This window comes from Homo sapiens, chromosome X, assembly GCF_000001405.40.
Source record: "Homo sapiens chromosome X, GRCh38.p14 Primary Assembly".
Classification (NCBI taxonomy): Eukaryota; Metazoa; Chordata; class Mammalia; order Primates; family Hominidae; genus Homo; species Homo sapiens.
Genome location: NC_000023.11, coordinates 119,674,037 through 119,691,781, shown reverse-complemented (window position 1 = coordinate 119,691,781; position 17,745 = coordinate 119,674,037). Strand labels below are relative to the sequence as shown.

General features: G+C 47.1%; 1 protein-coding gene across 9 annotated transcripts in view, besides 6 other annotated features; it reads left to right on the top strand.

Annotated features, from left to right (window-relative positions):
• The window catches only part of SEPTIN6 (septin 6), a 77,445-nt gene that overhangs the window by 1,387 nt on the left and 58,313 nt on the right, over nucleotides 1-17,745 (top strand). For all 9 annotated transcript variants that reach the window (NM_145802.4, NM_145800.4, XM_011531317.4 and 6 more), the window contains exon 2: nucleotides 16,114-16,228. In NM_145802.4, coding sequence (NP_665801.1) covers nucleotides 16,114-16,228 — 115 coding nt within the window. The remainder of the gene's footprint in view (nucleotides 1-16,113; nucleotides 16,229-17,745) is intronic.
• Nucleotides 5,532-5,581: an enhancer, noted in NCBI's record as "active region_29890". NCBI's record gives its function as "activates an Ori minimal core promoter by ATAC-STARR-seq in GM12878 lymphoblastoid cells {active_cell/tissue: GM12878}" and the evidence as "EXISTENCE:reporter gene assay evidence [ECO:0000049][PMID:35858748]".
• Nucleotides 5,612-5,661: an enhancer, noted in NCBI's record as "active region_29889". NCBI's record gives its function as "activates an Ori minimal core promoter by ATAC-STARR-seq in GM12878 lymphoblastoid cells {active_cell/tissue: GM12878}" and the evidence as "EXISTENCE:reporter gene assay evidence [ECO:0000049][PMID:35858748]".
• Nucleotides 5,932-6,161: an enhancer, noted in NCBI's record as "active region_29888". NCBI's record gives its function as "activates an Ori minimal core promoter by ATAC-STARR-seq in GM12878 lymphoblastoid cells {active_cell/tissue: GM12878}" and the evidence as "EXISTENCE:reporter gene assay evidence [ECO:0000049][PMID:35858748]".
• Nucleotides 13,561-13,680: a silencer, noted in NCBI's record as "silent region_20962". NCBI's record gives its function as "represses an Ori minimal core promoter by ATAC-STARR-seq in GM12878 lymphoblastoid cells {active_cell/tissue: GM12878}" and the evidence as "EXISTENCE:reporter gene assay evidence [ECO:0000049][PMID:35858748]".
• Nucleotides 13,561-14,119: a biological region, named in NCBI's record as "H3K4me1 hESC enhancer GRCh37_chrX:118811626-118812126".
• Nucleotides 13,619-14,119: an enhancer, noted in NCBI's record as "H3K4me1 hESC enhancer chrX:118811626-118812126 (GRCh37/hg19 assembly coordinates)". NCBI's record gives its function as "activates a minimal SCP1, AML or CMV promoter by ChIP-STARR-seq in naive H9 embryonic stem cells {active_cell/tissue: H9 hESC(naive)}" and the evidence as "EXISTENCE:reporter gene assay evidence [ECO:0000049][PMID:30033119]".

The window sequence follows — 17,745 nt, the reverse complement described above, 5'->3', positions numbered from 1 at the left end:
GCAATGCAACTACAGTACAAAAAAAAAGCCTCTAGGTATTTGGTGTAATTGAAATTGATTTTACAAAATCTGAAGCCAGAATCTGATAATATTTTCTCTACAGAATATGTATTAATGTCTCTTTTGTCCCTGTTTGGAAGGGCAGGATCATTTCTTCGGAACCTCCTCCACCCCCTGCACACCCTAGCACAGAGCACTTTATGCAGTCATGTTGTGGAAGGACCAGGAGTAGACAGGGGACATTCTCTGTGATGATGCAATTTGAGAGAATTTTCTTCCCCCAAGATTGGCACTCTCGTTGTTTATTGCTTTAGTGTTTTGAGGGCTCCCTCTTTTCTGCTGTGGCTTTTCTGCTCCTGGTTACCTGCATTTCAGAGATGGTATAGCTGAAGTAGAGGAATTAATCTCTGGGATTACACTAGCTCCATCCAAAAATGACGCTAATGATTTTTCATGTCAGCTAATGAATTTGCATCGACCTGTCCTCCATACTCTCACCAGTTTCTCTTGCCTGGATTAGGATTGCAGGGCAGATGTTGCAATGGGGAACATTCCAGAAGGTTGTGTGTGTTTCACCTCAGGCACAACTCAGGCAACCTAGAGATGCCCTTTGTTCTGCAGATGGGGGTGAGGGGGTGCTTTAGGGCCACTTGGTTTGCTTTGCATGGCTCCAGTTTGCTCTGGCTGGCCTTGCCATACTGTATGATGAAGAACATAATTGTACGCCAGATTCTGAAGCTGAAAGAGCAGCCTAAGCACTCGAGACCTTGTTATCGTGATAAATGGGTTTCTGGGAAAACTGACGTCACTCTCCATGCCCCCCTCCCCCAGCCAGTGAAGCTCCTGTTTATGTGTCATTTGTCTCTCTGTTCTCCTTTGTGTCTGCAATAAGTTGTAATTCACCAGGGAAGACGGAGTTAACTCAGGAGACCTTGGACATCTGGTTGCTGCTTGTTTCCTCCAAGGAACATGTATTCAGGGTTTGGGAACAGAAGACTAGAGAATAAACCTAAGTGTGGCTAGCTTAGGAATTCTTTTTTTTTTTTTTTTTTTTTTTTGAGACGGAGTCTTGCTCTGTTGCCCAGGCTGGAGTGCAAGTGGCATGATCTCGGCTCACTGCAACCTCAGCCTCCCAGGTTCAAGCGATTCTCCTGCCTCAGCCTCCCGAGTAGCTGGGATTACAGGCACCCGCCACCACACCTGGCTAGTTTTGATATTTTTAGTAGAGGGGGGTTTTCACCATGTTGGCCAGGCTGGTCTCGAACTCCTGACCTTGTGATCCACCCGCCTCAGCCTCCCAAAGTGTTGGGATTACAGGCATGAGCCACTGCTCCCGGCCAGGAATTCTTTTTAATGAGCTCTGAGACGTGGTACCATGCGAGTAAGTGCCCTAGTGTGTGTGTGTGTGTGTGTGTGTGTGTGTGTGTGTGTGTATGTGTATGTATGTGGGGGGTGTGTTCTTTCTAGAATCAGTTGAGAGTCACTGTGGGTAAACATCCTTAGTGACTAAAACAAGCCTTCAAGTTGTTGGGTAGGGCTTACATTGCACGCAGCCAACTTGGAAGTTCAATTCTGGTGCACATAATACAAGTCCGTCCCATTTGAATGAACACCACAAACGGTTTGGTGTGACAACACCATTTCTCCACTGTGTCCATATTTACTTGATTGACTGATATGTGGCCAGCACTATGGTTAGCCCTTGTCAACTGGACAAAAAAAGGTAGCAGGCTTTAAAAAACGTTCGTGATCGGACTGGGCTTGGTGGCTCATGCCTGTAATCCCAGCACTTTGGGAGGCTGAGGTGGGCAGATCATGAGGTCAGGAGTTCGAGACCAGCCTGGCCAACATGGTGAAACCCCGTATCTACTAAAAATACAAAAATTAGCCAGGCGTGGTGGTGCGTGCCTGTAATCACAGCTACTCAGGAGGCTGAGGCAGAAGAATCGCTTGAACCCTGGAGGCAGAGGTTGCAGTGAGCCAAGATTGCACCACTGCACTCCAGCCTGGGCAACAGAGCGAGACTCCATCTCAAAAAAGAAAAAAAAGAGGCCGAGGTGGGTGGATCACAAAGTCAGGAGATCGAGACCAGCCTGGCTAACATGGTTAAATCTCATCTCTACTAAAAATACAAAAAATTAGCCAGGCGTGGTGGCGGGCACCTGTAGTCCCAGCTACTGTGGAGGCTGAGGGTGTGAACCTGGGAGGCGGCACTTGCAGTGAGCCGAGATCGTGCCACTACACTCCAGCCTGGGCGACAGAGTGGGAATCCGTCTCAAAAAACAAAACAAAAAAAAGTTCGTGGCTTTTAAGCTTATAGTCTAGTTGGAATGACAAATTGTGGACACTGTGAAATAATTAAAGAACTATAGAAGATCCTTGTGATGCCCCACCTCACCCCCTGACTATGAGGTGGCTTGGGCTGCTATTAATATATATTTCGAGAGGTTCCATGACTTGTCCAAGGTAACCAAGGCACAGGGCAAGCCCCAAAAGCTGCATGTGCTGGCTCTTTTAATGAGCTGTTCCTTTCAATGTTGCATTCTGGGATCCAGACCGTAAATGCCGGCCCATACCAAGAGCATCTGGATGATTCTGGCTTGAACTAGTCCCACAATGTGAACAATGAAGCTTTCTCTAGTGGCAATCTAGGTAGTGGTCATTCTCCCAAGTGAACTTTCAGGGGCTAACTTTGCCCTACAAAGTTAGCTGGGGTTGGTCTGGGTCAACTGTCTCAGAGCAACTGTCTTCAGGTGGGGAAAAGATTGCTGCTGCACTCTGGTTTTGCTATCATCACGTGGCAGTTACCCTTTGATTCCCTTTGAGGTCTCTGCTTCAGGCGTTCCTACCACCACCCACTAAAGGTAGTATCGTACCTCAAACATAGAAAACAAAACCCTATTACCTAGCTCTATTGGTGATACAACACGGAAGAAAGTTTACATGGCCCTAAATATTTAAAAATGTTGATTCTAAATTTGAGGGGTTTTTGGACAGTCATTACATTATTTTCTAACTTCTCTGTGTGTTTGGGATGTTTCTTTTCTTCTTTTCCTTTTTTTTTTTTTTTTCCCCGAGATGGAGTCTTGTTCTGTCGCCCAGGCTGGAATGCAGTGGCGCGATCTCAGCTCACTGCAACCTCCGCCTCCTGGGTTCAAGAAATTATCCTGCCTCAGCCTCCCGAGTAGCTGGGATTACAGGTGTGCACCACCGTGCCCAGCTAATTTTTGTATTTTTAGTAGAAACAGGGTTTCACCATGTTGGCCAGGCTGGTCTCGAACTCCTGACCTCGTGATCTGCCCACCTTGGCCTCTCAAAGTCCTGGGATTACAGGTGTGAGCCACAGCGCCCGGCCTGGGATTTTTCAAAATAAAAAGCGGGCAGAATGACAATGTCCCCCAAATGCACATGGTCCCTTCTTTCAAGGAACTGGTGGAGGCAGACACAAATCACTATCTAATTATCTTTGTGATAAGTGCTACACAGGAGAGTGACTGCCTGCCATGAGATTTCATTACTAAGGGAACCTAACTCAGCAATGAATGGAGGCAGAGGGTGACAGGAAGGGCTTCCTGAGGGCTTCAAATAGGAAATGGGTAGGTGTGAAGGTGGGTGAGATCTCACATCTGCTACTGGGTTGGGAACATTTCATTTGCCAATTCACCCACTTTTATTTTCATTCATTCCTTCAGCACATATTCACTGGGCACTGATCGGCCAGGCCCCGTGCCAGGTGCTGAGGATATAGTGGTGGCCAAGGCACGCAGGAACTCTGCCCTCTCACAGCTTCCAGATGAAAGGCAGGAATAAGCCCTGTTTCCTTTTTACATCCTAAATCCTGGAAATGTGAGTGTTAGCGGTGTTCTTAATACAAAACTACATTATAGCAGAGTGATTTGTCTGTATCATCTAATGAGATTTTGATCTGCAGTCATGTGCATAGCATTTACTTTGTGGAGTCTCTGCTGTAAATTTTCTATTAATTGCTGGCTTTGTTACCAAGCATGGCCACTGCCTTTGTGTGCTATAAGGGAGCAAACCTATTGCATTAGCCTGAGCAAAGCCAATTAGGAAGATAAGTCCTCTGGAAAAAGGTATTCCCAAACTAAGTAGGGCTGATTTCTGGACTTGCCTGGGTTTTTGGATGATCAGAGCCATGGTTTAATATTAGCATGAACAATTGAGAAGGGCTTTTAGTTGCATGTACATTAAAACTACATTCAAGACAGATGAGGCCAGGTGCGGTGGCTCACGTCTGTAATCCCAGCACTTTGGGAGGCCGAGGCGGGCAGATCATGAGGTTAGGAGATCCAGACCATTCTGGCTAACACGGTGAAACCCCATCTCTACTAAAAATTAAAAAATTAGCCGGGCGTGGTGGCGGGTGCCTGTAGTCCCAGCTACTCTGGAGGCTGAAACAGGAGAATGGCGTGAACCCGGGAGGCGGAGCTTGCAGTGAGCCGAGATTGTGCCACTGCACTCCATCCTGGGCGACAGAGTGAGACTCCGTCTCAAAAAAGAAAAAAAAAAAAAGACAGATGAAAGAAAGAAAGAAGGAAAGAAGGAAAAAGAAGGAAAGAAGGAAAGCCATGGATATATATAACATGTTTCTTTCAACGATCTCGAAATGCTTCCATCTGTATGATTTCATTTTCCCCAATGGCTTCCTGGACAAGTATTACTGTTCCCTTTATTTAATGGGTGTAGGGAGACCAAGTTACTTAGTCCGAAGTGCTATTGCTGGTCAGTGGGTGATACGATTAAACACCCACCAGATGACACAGATTCCTTGTTTAAAAACACTTGTCTTTTCATGATGTTTCTAAGACATCAAAATCCTGCCATGACCTCTCTTCCCCCTCTTTTCACTACACTCCCTCAGCACTCCCATAGGGCCCAGGGAAGAGTATACTAGGGTGATTCGGAGACTCTCTGATATTAAAAAGATTCTCAGCTTAAATCCAATATAGCACAGTCACGGGTTGTGTGGGTTTTCTTTTTTATTTTTTCTTCTCCATATTGCTTTAAATAAAAATCTTGGAGCCACCAGCCATGTAATGATGGATTATTTTAAGTAACAACTGGAGTGGGGGGCGCAGAATAAATTAGAAACACAGACCCTTCCTCCTCAGTTTGGCAGGAGGAGGCTTCTGCTGCTGGGATTTGAAACCGTGGGTTTCTCTGCCGCCTGCACAGAGGAAGGAGGCCACATGCTCAGGAGGGTGAGAAATAATGTTATCCTCTTCTTCAGTGTCTTCTCATTAGAGGCAGCCATCTGCTGAATTATGCAGCGCGCTCTCAGCCGGCCCTTCCACTCACTTAAAGGTGACCAGGGAAAAGATCTGCAGGCCTTCTCAGCGAGAGGCCTCAGGGCTCAGGTTTCCCCTGCCATGGCCCTCTCTGACCCGGAATGAAGGCCCTGGGGTAACGGGGCAGAACTCTGTTTTCCTGGCCCTGATGAGGTGTGAGGTCGTGTTCGGTTTCCTTTCACATTGGAGGCCCCCAGCTCTGAACACTGGCGCTGAGGCAGGAACTGGGTTTTTTTCAGATCCCCATTAAACAAGACCAGATGGAGGCAGAGGCAAATTCAGGCTCCCCAGAGGGCAGTTGGGCATTCACCCAGAGGCCTGTGGGTAAACCTTTTCTTTTTTAGCAGATTGGAGGTAACAATAGCCAGAACACCTAGAAAACTCTCTTTCAATTGTCTGGCTTCCAGGGAATCTGGCTGGCTTTTGTGGGAAAGTTTCACTCACCCTGAGCAAGGGTCACCCCTGGCCTGAGGTGGGGATATTTGACCTAGACTTAGGCTTGTGTTAGTCTTGGGGTTCTTCAGCAGAACTGGGCAGCTGGCCAGGCTGAGACTTAGGCCGCAGTCAAAAGAGAGGGAAACAGGAGGAAAAAGTGGGGAAGTGAGTAGAGAGCAGGAACACACAATGAGTGCCTTCCACCGCATTGACTGCTTCAGTTGCCTTCTGTGGGCCAGAACCACCTTGGGGAGCTCACGGGTTTCCAGATTCGGTTCCTTGACCCTTCTGCCCCTGACCAGCATCAAGCCAGAAGCTCAATGTCCCGGAATTTTACCAGTCTAAAGAAACACATGTGCCACTTGAGTCAGCTTTTCCATTTGAGAGTGGCCGTTGGCTCGACAGGGGCCTGGATCCTAGCACTATTCTCTGTCACTAAATCAGTCTGTGACGTGAGCCAAGTCACTTCCTCTCTGTGAGTCTCTGTTTCCCCTTTTGTGAAACGAAAGGGCTGGATTAGGTGATCTTTAAGGGCGTTTCCAGCTCTAACATTGTATGGTGCTTATGTTTCCTTTTTCTCCAGCCTCATTTCTTTTAGGTCCTTGCCTGCGTCTGCTTCCGAATGAGGTGGCAGAATTGAACCCCACCCCTTCCCTGCTTTGACCCCTTGAGCTGGGTGGGGAGAGAGTCGTAGGGAAGGTCGATCTATGCTTTTAGCTCAGCAGGCTCTCGGTAAGTGGAACAGAAACAACCCTTCAGATATTGCCTGTCCATGTAGGTGTAGATAGCTATTGTCTTCCTATAAAGGTACATGACAGCTGAATGTTTGTCTATTGAATCCTGCTTTCAATGCAGTAGAAGAGCCGGCTACTTAATGGAATCCTGCTGTGAATCCTTTTATAGAATGAAAAGCCACTCTGGAATTTATCTTGTGTATTAAAATCAGTTTCATCTATTGGATTTGCCAAAAATGGGCCTCCTCCTCTGTCTGGTAAGGATAGTCTGTCTTGTGCTTCTTCAGCACAACTGCTCCCCAACTGAAGGGCATTTCTGAGGCCCCTTGGGGGTGCTGCCAGCTTTTGCAGGCCTTATTTCTCCTTAGAACAGCCCCCACATTTCTCTTTCCCAGGATAGGGCATTGCTACTACTCAGTTTCCTCTTAGCCTGGCTTAATTAGCATGAGGGACATTCTGATATTTGATGTGTTGGATGCATTTGAGAATTGTTTTTAAAACCTGTGGGAACTTGGCTGTGTGCGGGGGCTCACACCTGTAATCCCAGCACTTTAGGAGACTGAGGCGGGCGGATCACCTGAGGTTAGGAGTTCGAGACCAGCCTGGCCAATATGGCAAAACCCCGTCTCTTCTAAAAATACAAACATTAGCTGGATGTGGTGGTGGGCGCCTGTAATCCCAGCTACTCGGGAGGCTGAGGTAGGAGAATCACTTGAACCCTGGAGACGGAGGTTGCAATGAGCTGAGATCGTGCCACCGCACTCCAGCCTGAGAGAGACAGAGTGAGACTCCATCTCAGAAAAAAAAAAAAAAAAAAAAAACCTCTGGGAACTTATCAGTGCTTTTGTGGTTCTTATGACATAATACAGCGGCATCCTTGGCAGCATTGGAGGCAGCAGAGGAAGCTATCAGCTACCTGATTGTTTCATCAAGACTTTTTGCTACATGTTTCAGGATATATGATTTGACTTCTGGTTCACATGAATCATTATAATAAGAAATTATACTGTATGACAATAAGTTATATATATAATATGTAATAATAAGTTATAATAAGGGGGCTGGGCACAGTGGCTCACGCCTATATTCCCAGAACTTTGGGAGGCCGAGGCGAGTGGATCACCTGAAGTCAGGAGTTCTAGACCAGCCTGGCCAACATGGTGAAACCCCATCTCTACTAAACTAAAAATACAAAAATTAGCTGGGTGTGGTGGTACACACCTGTAATCCCAGCTACTCAGGAAGCTGAGGCAGGAGAATCGCTTGAAACCAGGAGGGAGAGGTTGCAGTGAGCTGAGATCGCGCCACTGCACTCCAGCCTGGTTGACAGAGTGAGACACTGTCTCAAAAAAAAAAAAAAAAAGAAGTTATAATAAGGAGACTAATAGGGTTTTATTGTATTTCTGGTAAAATAAATGTTTTATATACAATAAAACTGCCTGAAAGCTAAATGCTCTGATGACCCAAATTGTCAGGCACCTTTTTGGTTGTAGTTCAATATTTTTCTAAAATACCTGAGGCCACTTTCCTACCCAGGAAAGTATCATCATAGAATCTTTTTTAAAAAAGTAACATTTTCCCTGTTTATAAAAGTAAAATATGCCTATTGTAGAACATTTGGAAAACCCAGAAAAGCAACATCACCTACAACCTCTCTACCCAAAAGAAATCACTGACATTATTTTGGCATGTGTTCTTCTAATCTTTTAAAAAATGTGTATTTTCCCCCATCATTGGGATGACCCTGTGTATACAGGTTGGTTTTCCTGTTGTTGTTTGCCTTTGGTGAGCATTTCCTTTTGTCATTAAATATTCTTAGAAAACATTTTTCTCAGCTGCTTAATATTCCATCATGTATCACTGAACCGATGATTCATAGTCTTGGAGATTTGCACGGTCTTTCAGACATCAGTGTTCAGGGCTGAGAGTGGAAATGGAGAAAAGGGAGGTGTGAGAGCTTGGGCCCACCAGTAGGTGACTGAAGAGAGTCCGGTTTCAGTGTTTCTTTTCTTTCCTAGCATTTTTGTTGTTGTTGTTTGTTTGTTTGTTTTGAGACAGAGTCTCCCTCTGTTGCCCAGACTGGAGTGCAGTTGTGCGATCTCAGCTCATTGCAACCTCCGCCTCCTGCGTTCAAGCGATTCTCCTGCCTCAGCCTCCCAACTGGCTGGGACTACAGGCATGAGCCACCAAGCCTGGCTAATTTTTGTATTTTCAGTAGAGACGGGTTTTCCCAGTGTTGGCCAGGCTGGTTTCGAATTCCTGGCCCCAAGTAATCTGCCCGCCTTGGCCTCCCAAAGTGCTGGGATTACAGGCATGAGCCACCGTACCTGGCCGCTTTCCTAGTATTTGGATGGGAATGGCCAGAGGAGAAAGTTTAGGGACAGCCTAGTCATCAGCAATGAGTTTCAAACTTTTTGCTTTTATTCTTTAGAATGACAGCTACTAATTTAGCCACCCTGGTTTGAAACAGAGGCGGGAAATTCTCCATTGACACAGATGCACCCTCAGTTCCCAGAGGCCTCAAATACGGCTTGCTTACTATCACAGAGGTTGGAAGAGGGGCCAAGGGGAGTGGGGGACAGAGGTGGCCTACTCGGGTGCTTAAGGGACTCTTTATTTTCAGTAACAGCAATGAGAGAAAGATGCGCAGCTGGAACCACCATAACTTGTTCTTGATAATATGAACCTTACGAATATTCAATTAAAAAACGAAATTGGTGTGTCCTCAGGAGAGGAGGCAGAAGAGAAAGAGAGCAGTGTTTCTGCCTGTGATATGAAATGTGGTATAACGTATTTAAAAACCACAGGTGACTGCAGATGAGGAGAAAACAGGAAATGTAATTGGGGAGGGGAGTGGGGCGCTCTCCCAGTTCTCAGGAGCACTCTTTCATTTTGCCTTCCTTTTAGCTCCTCTCAGACTCTCTGCATCCTAATTACCCCTGCTGCAAAGCTGAGTGAGAACTCTTCTTTCTTATATTAAAAATGTTTTAAAATTACATGGGTAACATGCGAATACATTCGTGCTATAAAAGAGTCAAACAATAGGGAAGCATACCGACTACTCCCTTGACTGAGCCCCTATTTCCATCCCCCTCCCCTGAGGTAGCTACGATTGTGGGTTTGGTGGCTGTATTTTCAGTCTTCTTTCTATGCATCCACATACATTTACGTGCAAATACACATCTACAGGGCTTCTGGGGCATATATGGGCTCATATTGTGCTTATAGTTTACAACTTCTATTTTCTTTTTTTTTTCTTTCTTTTTTTTGAGACAGGGTCTCACTGTTGCCCAGGCTGGAGTGCAGTGGCACAATCTTGGCCCACTACATCCTCGACCTACCGGGCTCAAGCAATCCTCCCACATCAGCCTCCTGGGTAGCTGGGACTACAGGTGTGTGCTAACACACTTGGCTAATTTTTGTATTTTTTGTAGAGACGGGATTCTGCTGTGTTGCCCAGGTTGGTCTCAAACTCCTGGGCTCAAGCGAGCCACCTGCCTCGACCTCCCAAAATGCTGGGATTACAGTCATGTAATAACTTCCATTTTCTTCTATTTTATTACAGTCGCCCTATAACTTCTGTTTTCTGTTTTATAATATGTCTTGGAGATACTCACATCAGTACATACAGAACTACCCACATGCTTCTTAATGGATGTAGAATATTCCAGAATATGCGTGTACCATAATTTGGTTAAATATTTTCCTATTGTTGGACATTTAGGTTGGGTTTTTTTTTTCAGCATTATAAACTGTGCTGTAATAAATTTCCTTGTAATAGATCTTTGTACAGATTCTGAGAGGAGGTTGCAGGGTTATGAGAGAAGTGCAATTTAAAATGGTGACTTTGGCCATTCCAGCATCTCAGTTCAGGCCTTCAGTATGGTAATATGGCACCACCTGCTACTAAAGATGAAAACTTGAGATTTACTGTCAGACATGCTGGGCCAAGTTGCCGGTTCCATCTCCTCTCGTGCACATTGTAGTCAAGGAACATTCAATTAACTGCAATCAAAGTAATCAGGCCCTCAATTAATCAGGCCACCTTAAGGAGAAAGAGGAAAGAGATAAGATATCAGAGATTTAGTGAGAGAGGAGGGGAGAAACTTCCAGGGGCTGTGCTGGGGTCAGTGTACATTCAGTTCAATGTTGTGTCCTTCTGTCCTTCCTACCTTTGCGTATTTAACTCTGAACAATGCGGACTGATACTCATAATGATGACCTTGACATCTTATAAGATTCATCAAAGCAAGGGTGCATAGTGTTTGCCAGACAGGATTTCCTAAAGTAGGAACTATACAAATACATTTTTTTTTTTTTTTTGAGACAGAGTCTTACTCTGTCGCCCAGCCTGGAGTGCAGTGGCGTGATCTCGGCTCAATGCAACCTCTGCCTCCCGGGTTCAGGTGATTCTCCTAACTCAGCCTCCCGAGTGGCTGGGACTACAGGCATCTGCCACCGCGCCCAGCCAATTTTTGTATTTTTAGTAGAGACGGGGTTTCACCATGTTGGCAAGGCTGGTCTTAAACTCCTGACCTCATGATCCACCCGCCTCGGCCTCCCAAAGTGCTGGGATTACAGGCGTGAGCCATCGTGCCTGGCCACAAATACATTTTTGAAGCTTTCTTAGCTACAGGGATTGAGACAAAAAGTTTGCTGCTTAAATCCCAGTTAGCAAGAAAAACACATTGACCAGGTTCTATGTCCCTTCTTTCCCAAACTCCTCAGTTAATTTAGGTGTATTGGACACTGGGTAACAGATACAAAAGAAATAAGGATTCTAAAAGTCACCAGTGGCTGGGCATGGTGGCTCACTCCTGTAATCCCAGCACTTTGGGAGGCCGAGGTGGCCGGATCATTTGAGGTCAGGAGTTCAAGACCAGCCTGGCCAACAAGGTGAAACCCCGTCTCTACTAAAAATACAAAAATTACCTGGGCGTGGTGGTGCACACCTGTAGTCCCAGCTACTCCGGAGGCTGAGGCAGGAGAATCGCTTGAACCCATGGGCCGAGATTGTGCCACTGCACTCCAGCCTGGACAACAAGAGAGAAACTCCATCTCTAATAAATAAATAAATAAATAAATAAATAAATAAATAAATAAATAAAATTAAGAGTGTTTATCTCTGGAGAGTGATATTATGGTTGATTTTGATTTTCTTCTTTATTATTATCTGTATGTTCTAAAATTTCTACAGTGAACATTGATTACTTCCACAAAATAAAAAATCTGATAAATGTAATTTTTTTAGTAACAGCTAATTTAAAATCAGTCTCCTCATCGTCCCCATTAAACAGGCATCTTTTCCTGGCTTTCCTATGTGTCTCCATGGTGCTGTCAATCCAAGCTCCCGGGCTTAGACCCTTGCGATTGTTCTCTCTGCCCAATCACTCCTTGAGGCTCATCCCTTCTTTTTTAATTAATTAATGTATTTATTTTTGAGACGGAGTCTCTCTCTGTCCCCCAGGCTGGCTGGAGTGCAGTGGCGCAATCTCGGCTCACTGCAAACTCCGCCTCCTGGGTTCAAGTGATTCTCCTGCCTCTCAGCCTCCTGAGTGGCTGGGATTACAGGCTCCCGCCACCACGCCCGGCTAATTTTTGTATTTTTAGTAGAGATGGGGTTTCACCATGTTGGCCAGGCTGGTTTTGAACTCCTGACCTCGTGATCCGCCTGCCTCAGCCTCCCAAAGTGCTGGGATTACAGGCGTGAGCCACTGCTCCCGGCAGAGGCTCATCCCTTCTTAAGACATCTCTCAAATTTGTTCCTTCTCTTTGAGTCCCAAGTCAGGTCAGTTCACACCAACCAGCATTTATTGTCACAGTGCCTGGATGTCACTCTGCTGGCTCAACATTATTGGAGTCATCTCCTCCTATGTCTTCCTGCTCCTAGTCTCTCTGTCCATCCAATCAAGCAAACACCCTGCAGCTGGAGTGATCTTTTAAAAACACTCCCTGTATCATGGCCCTCCCTGCTCAAATCACTCAAAATCCCCCAAATCCCATTGCTTAGGAAATGAAGTCCATACTTCTGCTTCTTAGGGCTTAAAAAATTATTTCTTTTGGGCCAGGCATGGTGGCTCATGCCTGTAATCCCAGCACTTTGGGAGGCCAAGGTGGGTGGATCACCTGAGGTCAGTAGTTCAAGACCAGCCTGGCCAACATGGCAAAACCCCATCTCTACTAAAATATACAAAAAATTAGCCGGGTGCGGTGGTGGGCACCCAGCTACTCGGGAGGCTGAGGCAGGAGAATCGCTTGAACCTGGGAGGCGGAAGTTGCAGTGAGCTGAGATCGCGCCACTGCACTCTAGCCTGGGAGACAGGGAGAGACTCCTTATCAAAAAAAAAGGAAAGAAAAGAAAATTTTTTCTTCTGCCGTTTAGGGCTCTTTACAGCACTGTCTTCAGTTTGAAAATTCATTTCCTCTCCTTTTGACTTTGGAGCACTTGAAGCTTCATGGTGCTGAATTTGTTGGAGGCCGGAAGAGGCAGCCAGGGGTGATAACAAATGGCTCAGGAAACCTCAACTCTGAGTCCACCTCAATTTCCGATGCCTGCTACATCGGAGGCTCCGTAAAGAAAGCATATCAGTTCTCATGTCCCTGACTCCCCTGCAGCGTTGCGGACCAAGAACTAGCAGTGGGAATCTTGCATCTTACTTTGTTTGCTTTAATAAAGAGAAGGGGAAATGAGAAGGAGAAGCAGAAAGGGGTGAACGTAGAACAAAGCCTTGAGTGATGTGAACCACTCATGAGGCTCAGCTGTCTTTATTTATTTTTTTTTTTTTGAGACGGAGTCTCGCTCTGTCGCCCAGGCTGGGTGCAGTGGCGCGATCTCGGCTCACTGCAAGCTCAGCCTCCCAGGTTCACGCCATTCTCCTGCCTCAGCCTCCTGAGTAGCTGGGACTACAGGCGCCCGCCACCACGCCCGGCTAATTTTTTGTATTTTTAGTAGAGACGGGGTTTCACCGTGTTAGCCAGGATGGTCTCCATCTCCTGACCTCGTGATCCGCCCACCTCGGCCTCCCAAAGTGCTGAGATTACAGGCATGAGCCACCGCGCCCGGCCGAGACAGTGTCTTGCTCTGTTACCCAGGCTGGAGTGCAATGGCGAGATCATGGCTCACTGCAGCCTCGACCTCCTGGGCTCAGGTGATCCTCCCACCTCAGCCTGCTGAGTAGCTGAGACCACAGGCTCACGACACCATGCCCGGCTCATTTTTGTATTTTTCTTGTTGTTGAGATGGGGTTTTGCCATTGTTGCTCAGTCTGGTCTCAAACTCCTGGGCTCAAGAGATCCGCCCACTTCGGCCTCCCCAAGTGCTGCGATTGCAGGTGCGAGCCACTGCACCCAGCCTCAGGTGTCTTCAGGGGACCCCCTGGGGCAGAGAATACACCAACTCTCACTGAATGATGGCATATGGTTGTCTGTTAAGAGTTCTCCACTGGGAGGGTGTGGGGTGAGATGTGTGAGGGTAATGAACTTGCCACATGGCATTCACCGGCACTAGCCCTGTCGCTTGCCCTCACAGGATCTAGTGACACCGATGGGAGTGAGATCTAAAGCTGTGTGAAGGGGCTATCTGGGAGCCGGTTCTGACAAAGTTGGCTGCTGAGAGGCTCCACCACCCTCACACCCCACCCCTTTCAGTGTGAAAATGTGCCCTTATTATGGACCTAGTCTAAAAGGTGGTCCAGCCCAACAGAAGAGCTGCCTGCTTAGTGCAGCCTGTGATGCTGGGCTGGGCCTCCTGGCACTAACCGTGCCCTTCTTGGACTGCTCTTGGCATCTTTCTAGTTATGGAAAGCTTGGTGCAGCCCCACCCAACAGAAACTGACTCCTTACATAGTACTCCCTTCTTGTCTAGCTCAGCTGTCTCAAGCTCCCTTCTCCCCTGTCCCCTCCCCTCCCCTGTGGCCGTTGGTTGGTATTTGGCACATTTCTTGAGTCCACGCTCCACGCAGGCCCCTTTTATGCTTCCCCCTGGCTCCTTGGAATCCTGTTCCAGTTTGAGTCTCCTCCTGTTTTGTAAAATCATTAACTATAAGCAGCTTTGGGCCTTGCAGGCGAAGCAAAGGCCCTCTGCTTTCCAGGGCTGGGAGTGGCTTGGCTGACCCTTAGGGAGTCAAGGGACCCAGAGGAAGCACGGAGGCAGCTTCTTGTAGCCATAGGGAGCCACAGTGTTCCATGCAGTACCCTTCAGGCTGGGGGTGTAAGGATAACCCCACAGTGAATAACAACAGCAGCTACTGCTGATTGAATGCTCACCACATGCTAGGCACTACGCTAAGGGCTTGAGGAGCATGATCCTGTATAATCCTCACACTCCTACTCAATAGTTTCCGATTTTATGGATGGGGAAAACTTAAGAAGTTTATGTAACTTGTCTGAGGGTGACACAGCCAGGAGATGGTGGAGATGGGGCTGTAACTAACACCTGCCAGATTTCAAAGCCTCTACTCTTAACCTCTACACTACACTGCCTTTGTAGGTCCTCAAAATGCTCTAGAGAGAGAGGAACAATTGCTTTTTTTTTAAGACAGGATCTTGCTCTCTCACCTGGGCGGGAGTGCAGTGGTGCCATCATAGCGCACTGCAGCCTCTACCTCCTGGACACAAGCAATCCTCCCGCCTCAGCCTCCCAAGTAGCTGGGACTACACAGGCACATGCCACCATGCCCAGCTAATTTTTGATTTTTTGTAGAGATGTTGTCTCACTGTGTTGCCCAGGCTGGTCTCAAACTCTTGGCCTCAAGTGATCCACCCACCTTGGCCTCCCAAAGTGTTGGGATTACAGGTGTGAGACATTTCGCCAGCCAATAATTGATTTTTTTTTTTTTTTGAGACAGAGTTTCGCTCTTATTGCCCAGGCTGTAGTGCAGTGGCGTGATCTCGGCTCACTGCAGCCTACACCTCCCGGGTTCAAGCAATTCTCCTGCCTCAGTCTCCCAAGTAGCTGGGATTATAGGCACCCACCACCATGCCTGGCTAATTTTTGTTTTTTTTGGTAGAGACAGGGTTTCGCCACGTTGGCCAGGCTGGTGTTGAACTCCTGACCTCAAGTGATCCCCCCCGCCTTGGCCTCCCAAAGTGCTGGGATTACAGGTGTGAGCCACTGAACCCGGCCCAATAATTGCTTTTTAAACCCTTTTCGTAATACTTACTGAATACTTCTGCATATACTAAGCTCGTTACATGTATTAGCGTTTCTGAGGCTCCCAGTCACCTCTAAGATATGCCATATTATCTCAGATGGCAGATGTGGAAGGAAACAGTCTCAGCAAGTTACTCAGCTTGTAAATGACTGAGTGGAGATTTAACCTGAGTCTGTGAATCTCGGTGCCAGCATTCTCCTCCCCTGACTCCACTCTCCTGCCCCTAATAAGCTCCTCTGTAATTTTCTCTGGAGCTGTGGCGACATTCACTATTGAGCCTAGAGGATGCCTGTCCCCAAGAATCTGTGATTTCCAAGCTGACGGGCCATTTTGCTTTGGAGCAGGGAGTAGCTGAGGGAAGAGATGACACACTGGGCCTGGGCGGGTGTGACTTCCTTGCACAGCGAACATTTGGATGGAGAAGCGAGACCCAGACTGCTTTTAAGCACATTTTCATTTTCTCCCTCACTCCTTCCAAATTAGGGTGAAGGTTGCCGAACTGTCCCCCTGGCTGGACATGTGGGGTTTGACAGCTTGCCTGACCAGCTGGTGAATAAGTCCGTCAGCCAGGGCTTCTGCTTCAACATCCTGTGCGTGGGTGAGTATTTCCATAGCAGGAAATTCTATTACAGAATATGGATCCTTAATGGCTGGATACGGCTTTGCAGGTAATTAGGTTAAATAGTGTGTCATTCTGATTTAGTTGCGAGAGTGTCTCTCCCCTCTTCTTTTATCTCTCTGCCTGTTTTTTGTAAACAGCTGGCTGTAATTACTTTTTTCCCCTGGCCAGATCAGAGTATAGGGCCATATCTTGGGGGGAAACTGAGCTATGTGAGACCCAGTGGAAATTCTGTAAGGGAGCTGGCTGGCTCAGTATGGCTGTAGAGTTCATTTTGACTACAGAAGACAGGATCCAGGGCAGAATTGGGAGGGAGGGGATAGCTGACAAAAAACGCCTGCCCACCAGCTGTGGGCAGTGGGTTGGGTCTGTTTCCTCTGTAGTTTTGCTGTGCTTGGTTTAGTTTGAGCTCGGGTGCAGGCACCACACAGCTGTATGCAACATTCTTTTATTCCCTTTACCTATCTCTCTGCCTAGACTTTTTTTTTTTTGAGATGGGGGTCTCACTATGTTGCCCAGGCTGGTCTTGAACTCCTGAGCTCAAGCAATCCACCCATCTTGGCCTCCCAAAGTGCTAGGATTACAGGTGTGAGCCACTGTGCCCGGCCTCTACCTAGACATTTAATCTCAACAGTGGGAGCTGCATCTTAGCCCCCTCTATTTGCTAATCACAGCACAAGTAGAGTGCGGTAATATCTGTGAAATGAATGAATGGGTGAATGCCACAGGAACCATTCATTATACTTTTCACTTTCTCACATTAGCTCTTTTGGACATTACCAGGACTCTGCGAAGTGAGCAGAGCAAGTAGCATTTGTATCCTCATGAAACAGGTGGAGACACAGAGTCTTGGGGAGGATAAGGGACTTACCTGAGGCAACACAGAAGAAGTGGCACCATAATGAGGACTCAGGCCTGGTTGACCCCTTGTTCCTCCCCCTGCTTCTCTAACTGCTGCCAGCAATATCTCTTGAGCACATGAAAGCACTTTGGAAACCACTGAGCACCAATCAAACAAATATGAGGGATAACGGTTCCTTCTTCAAGAATATCTTCGGCCGGGCACGGTGGCTCACGCCTGTAATCCCAGCACTTTGGGAGGCCGAGGCCGGTGGATCACGAGGTCAGAAGATCGAGACCATCCTGGCTAACACGGTGAAACCCCGTCTCTACTAAAAATACAAAAACAAAATTAGCCGGGCACGGTGGCGGGCGCCTGTAGTCCCAGCTACTTGGGAGGCTGAGGCAGGAGAATGGCGTGAACCTGGGAGGCAGAGCTTCCAGTGAGCTCAGATCGCGCCACTGCACTCCAGCCTGGACGACAGAGTAAGACTCTGTCTCAAAAAAAAAAAAAGAATCTTCTTAGATCTTAAATATCTCAAATTTGCAAACATGATCATAGCATATAATTTTCACCCTGTAACACGGGAAAGCATACCTGCATATTTCCAGTGACCTTCTGAACCTTAATGATTATATAAATACCAGAATAAAGT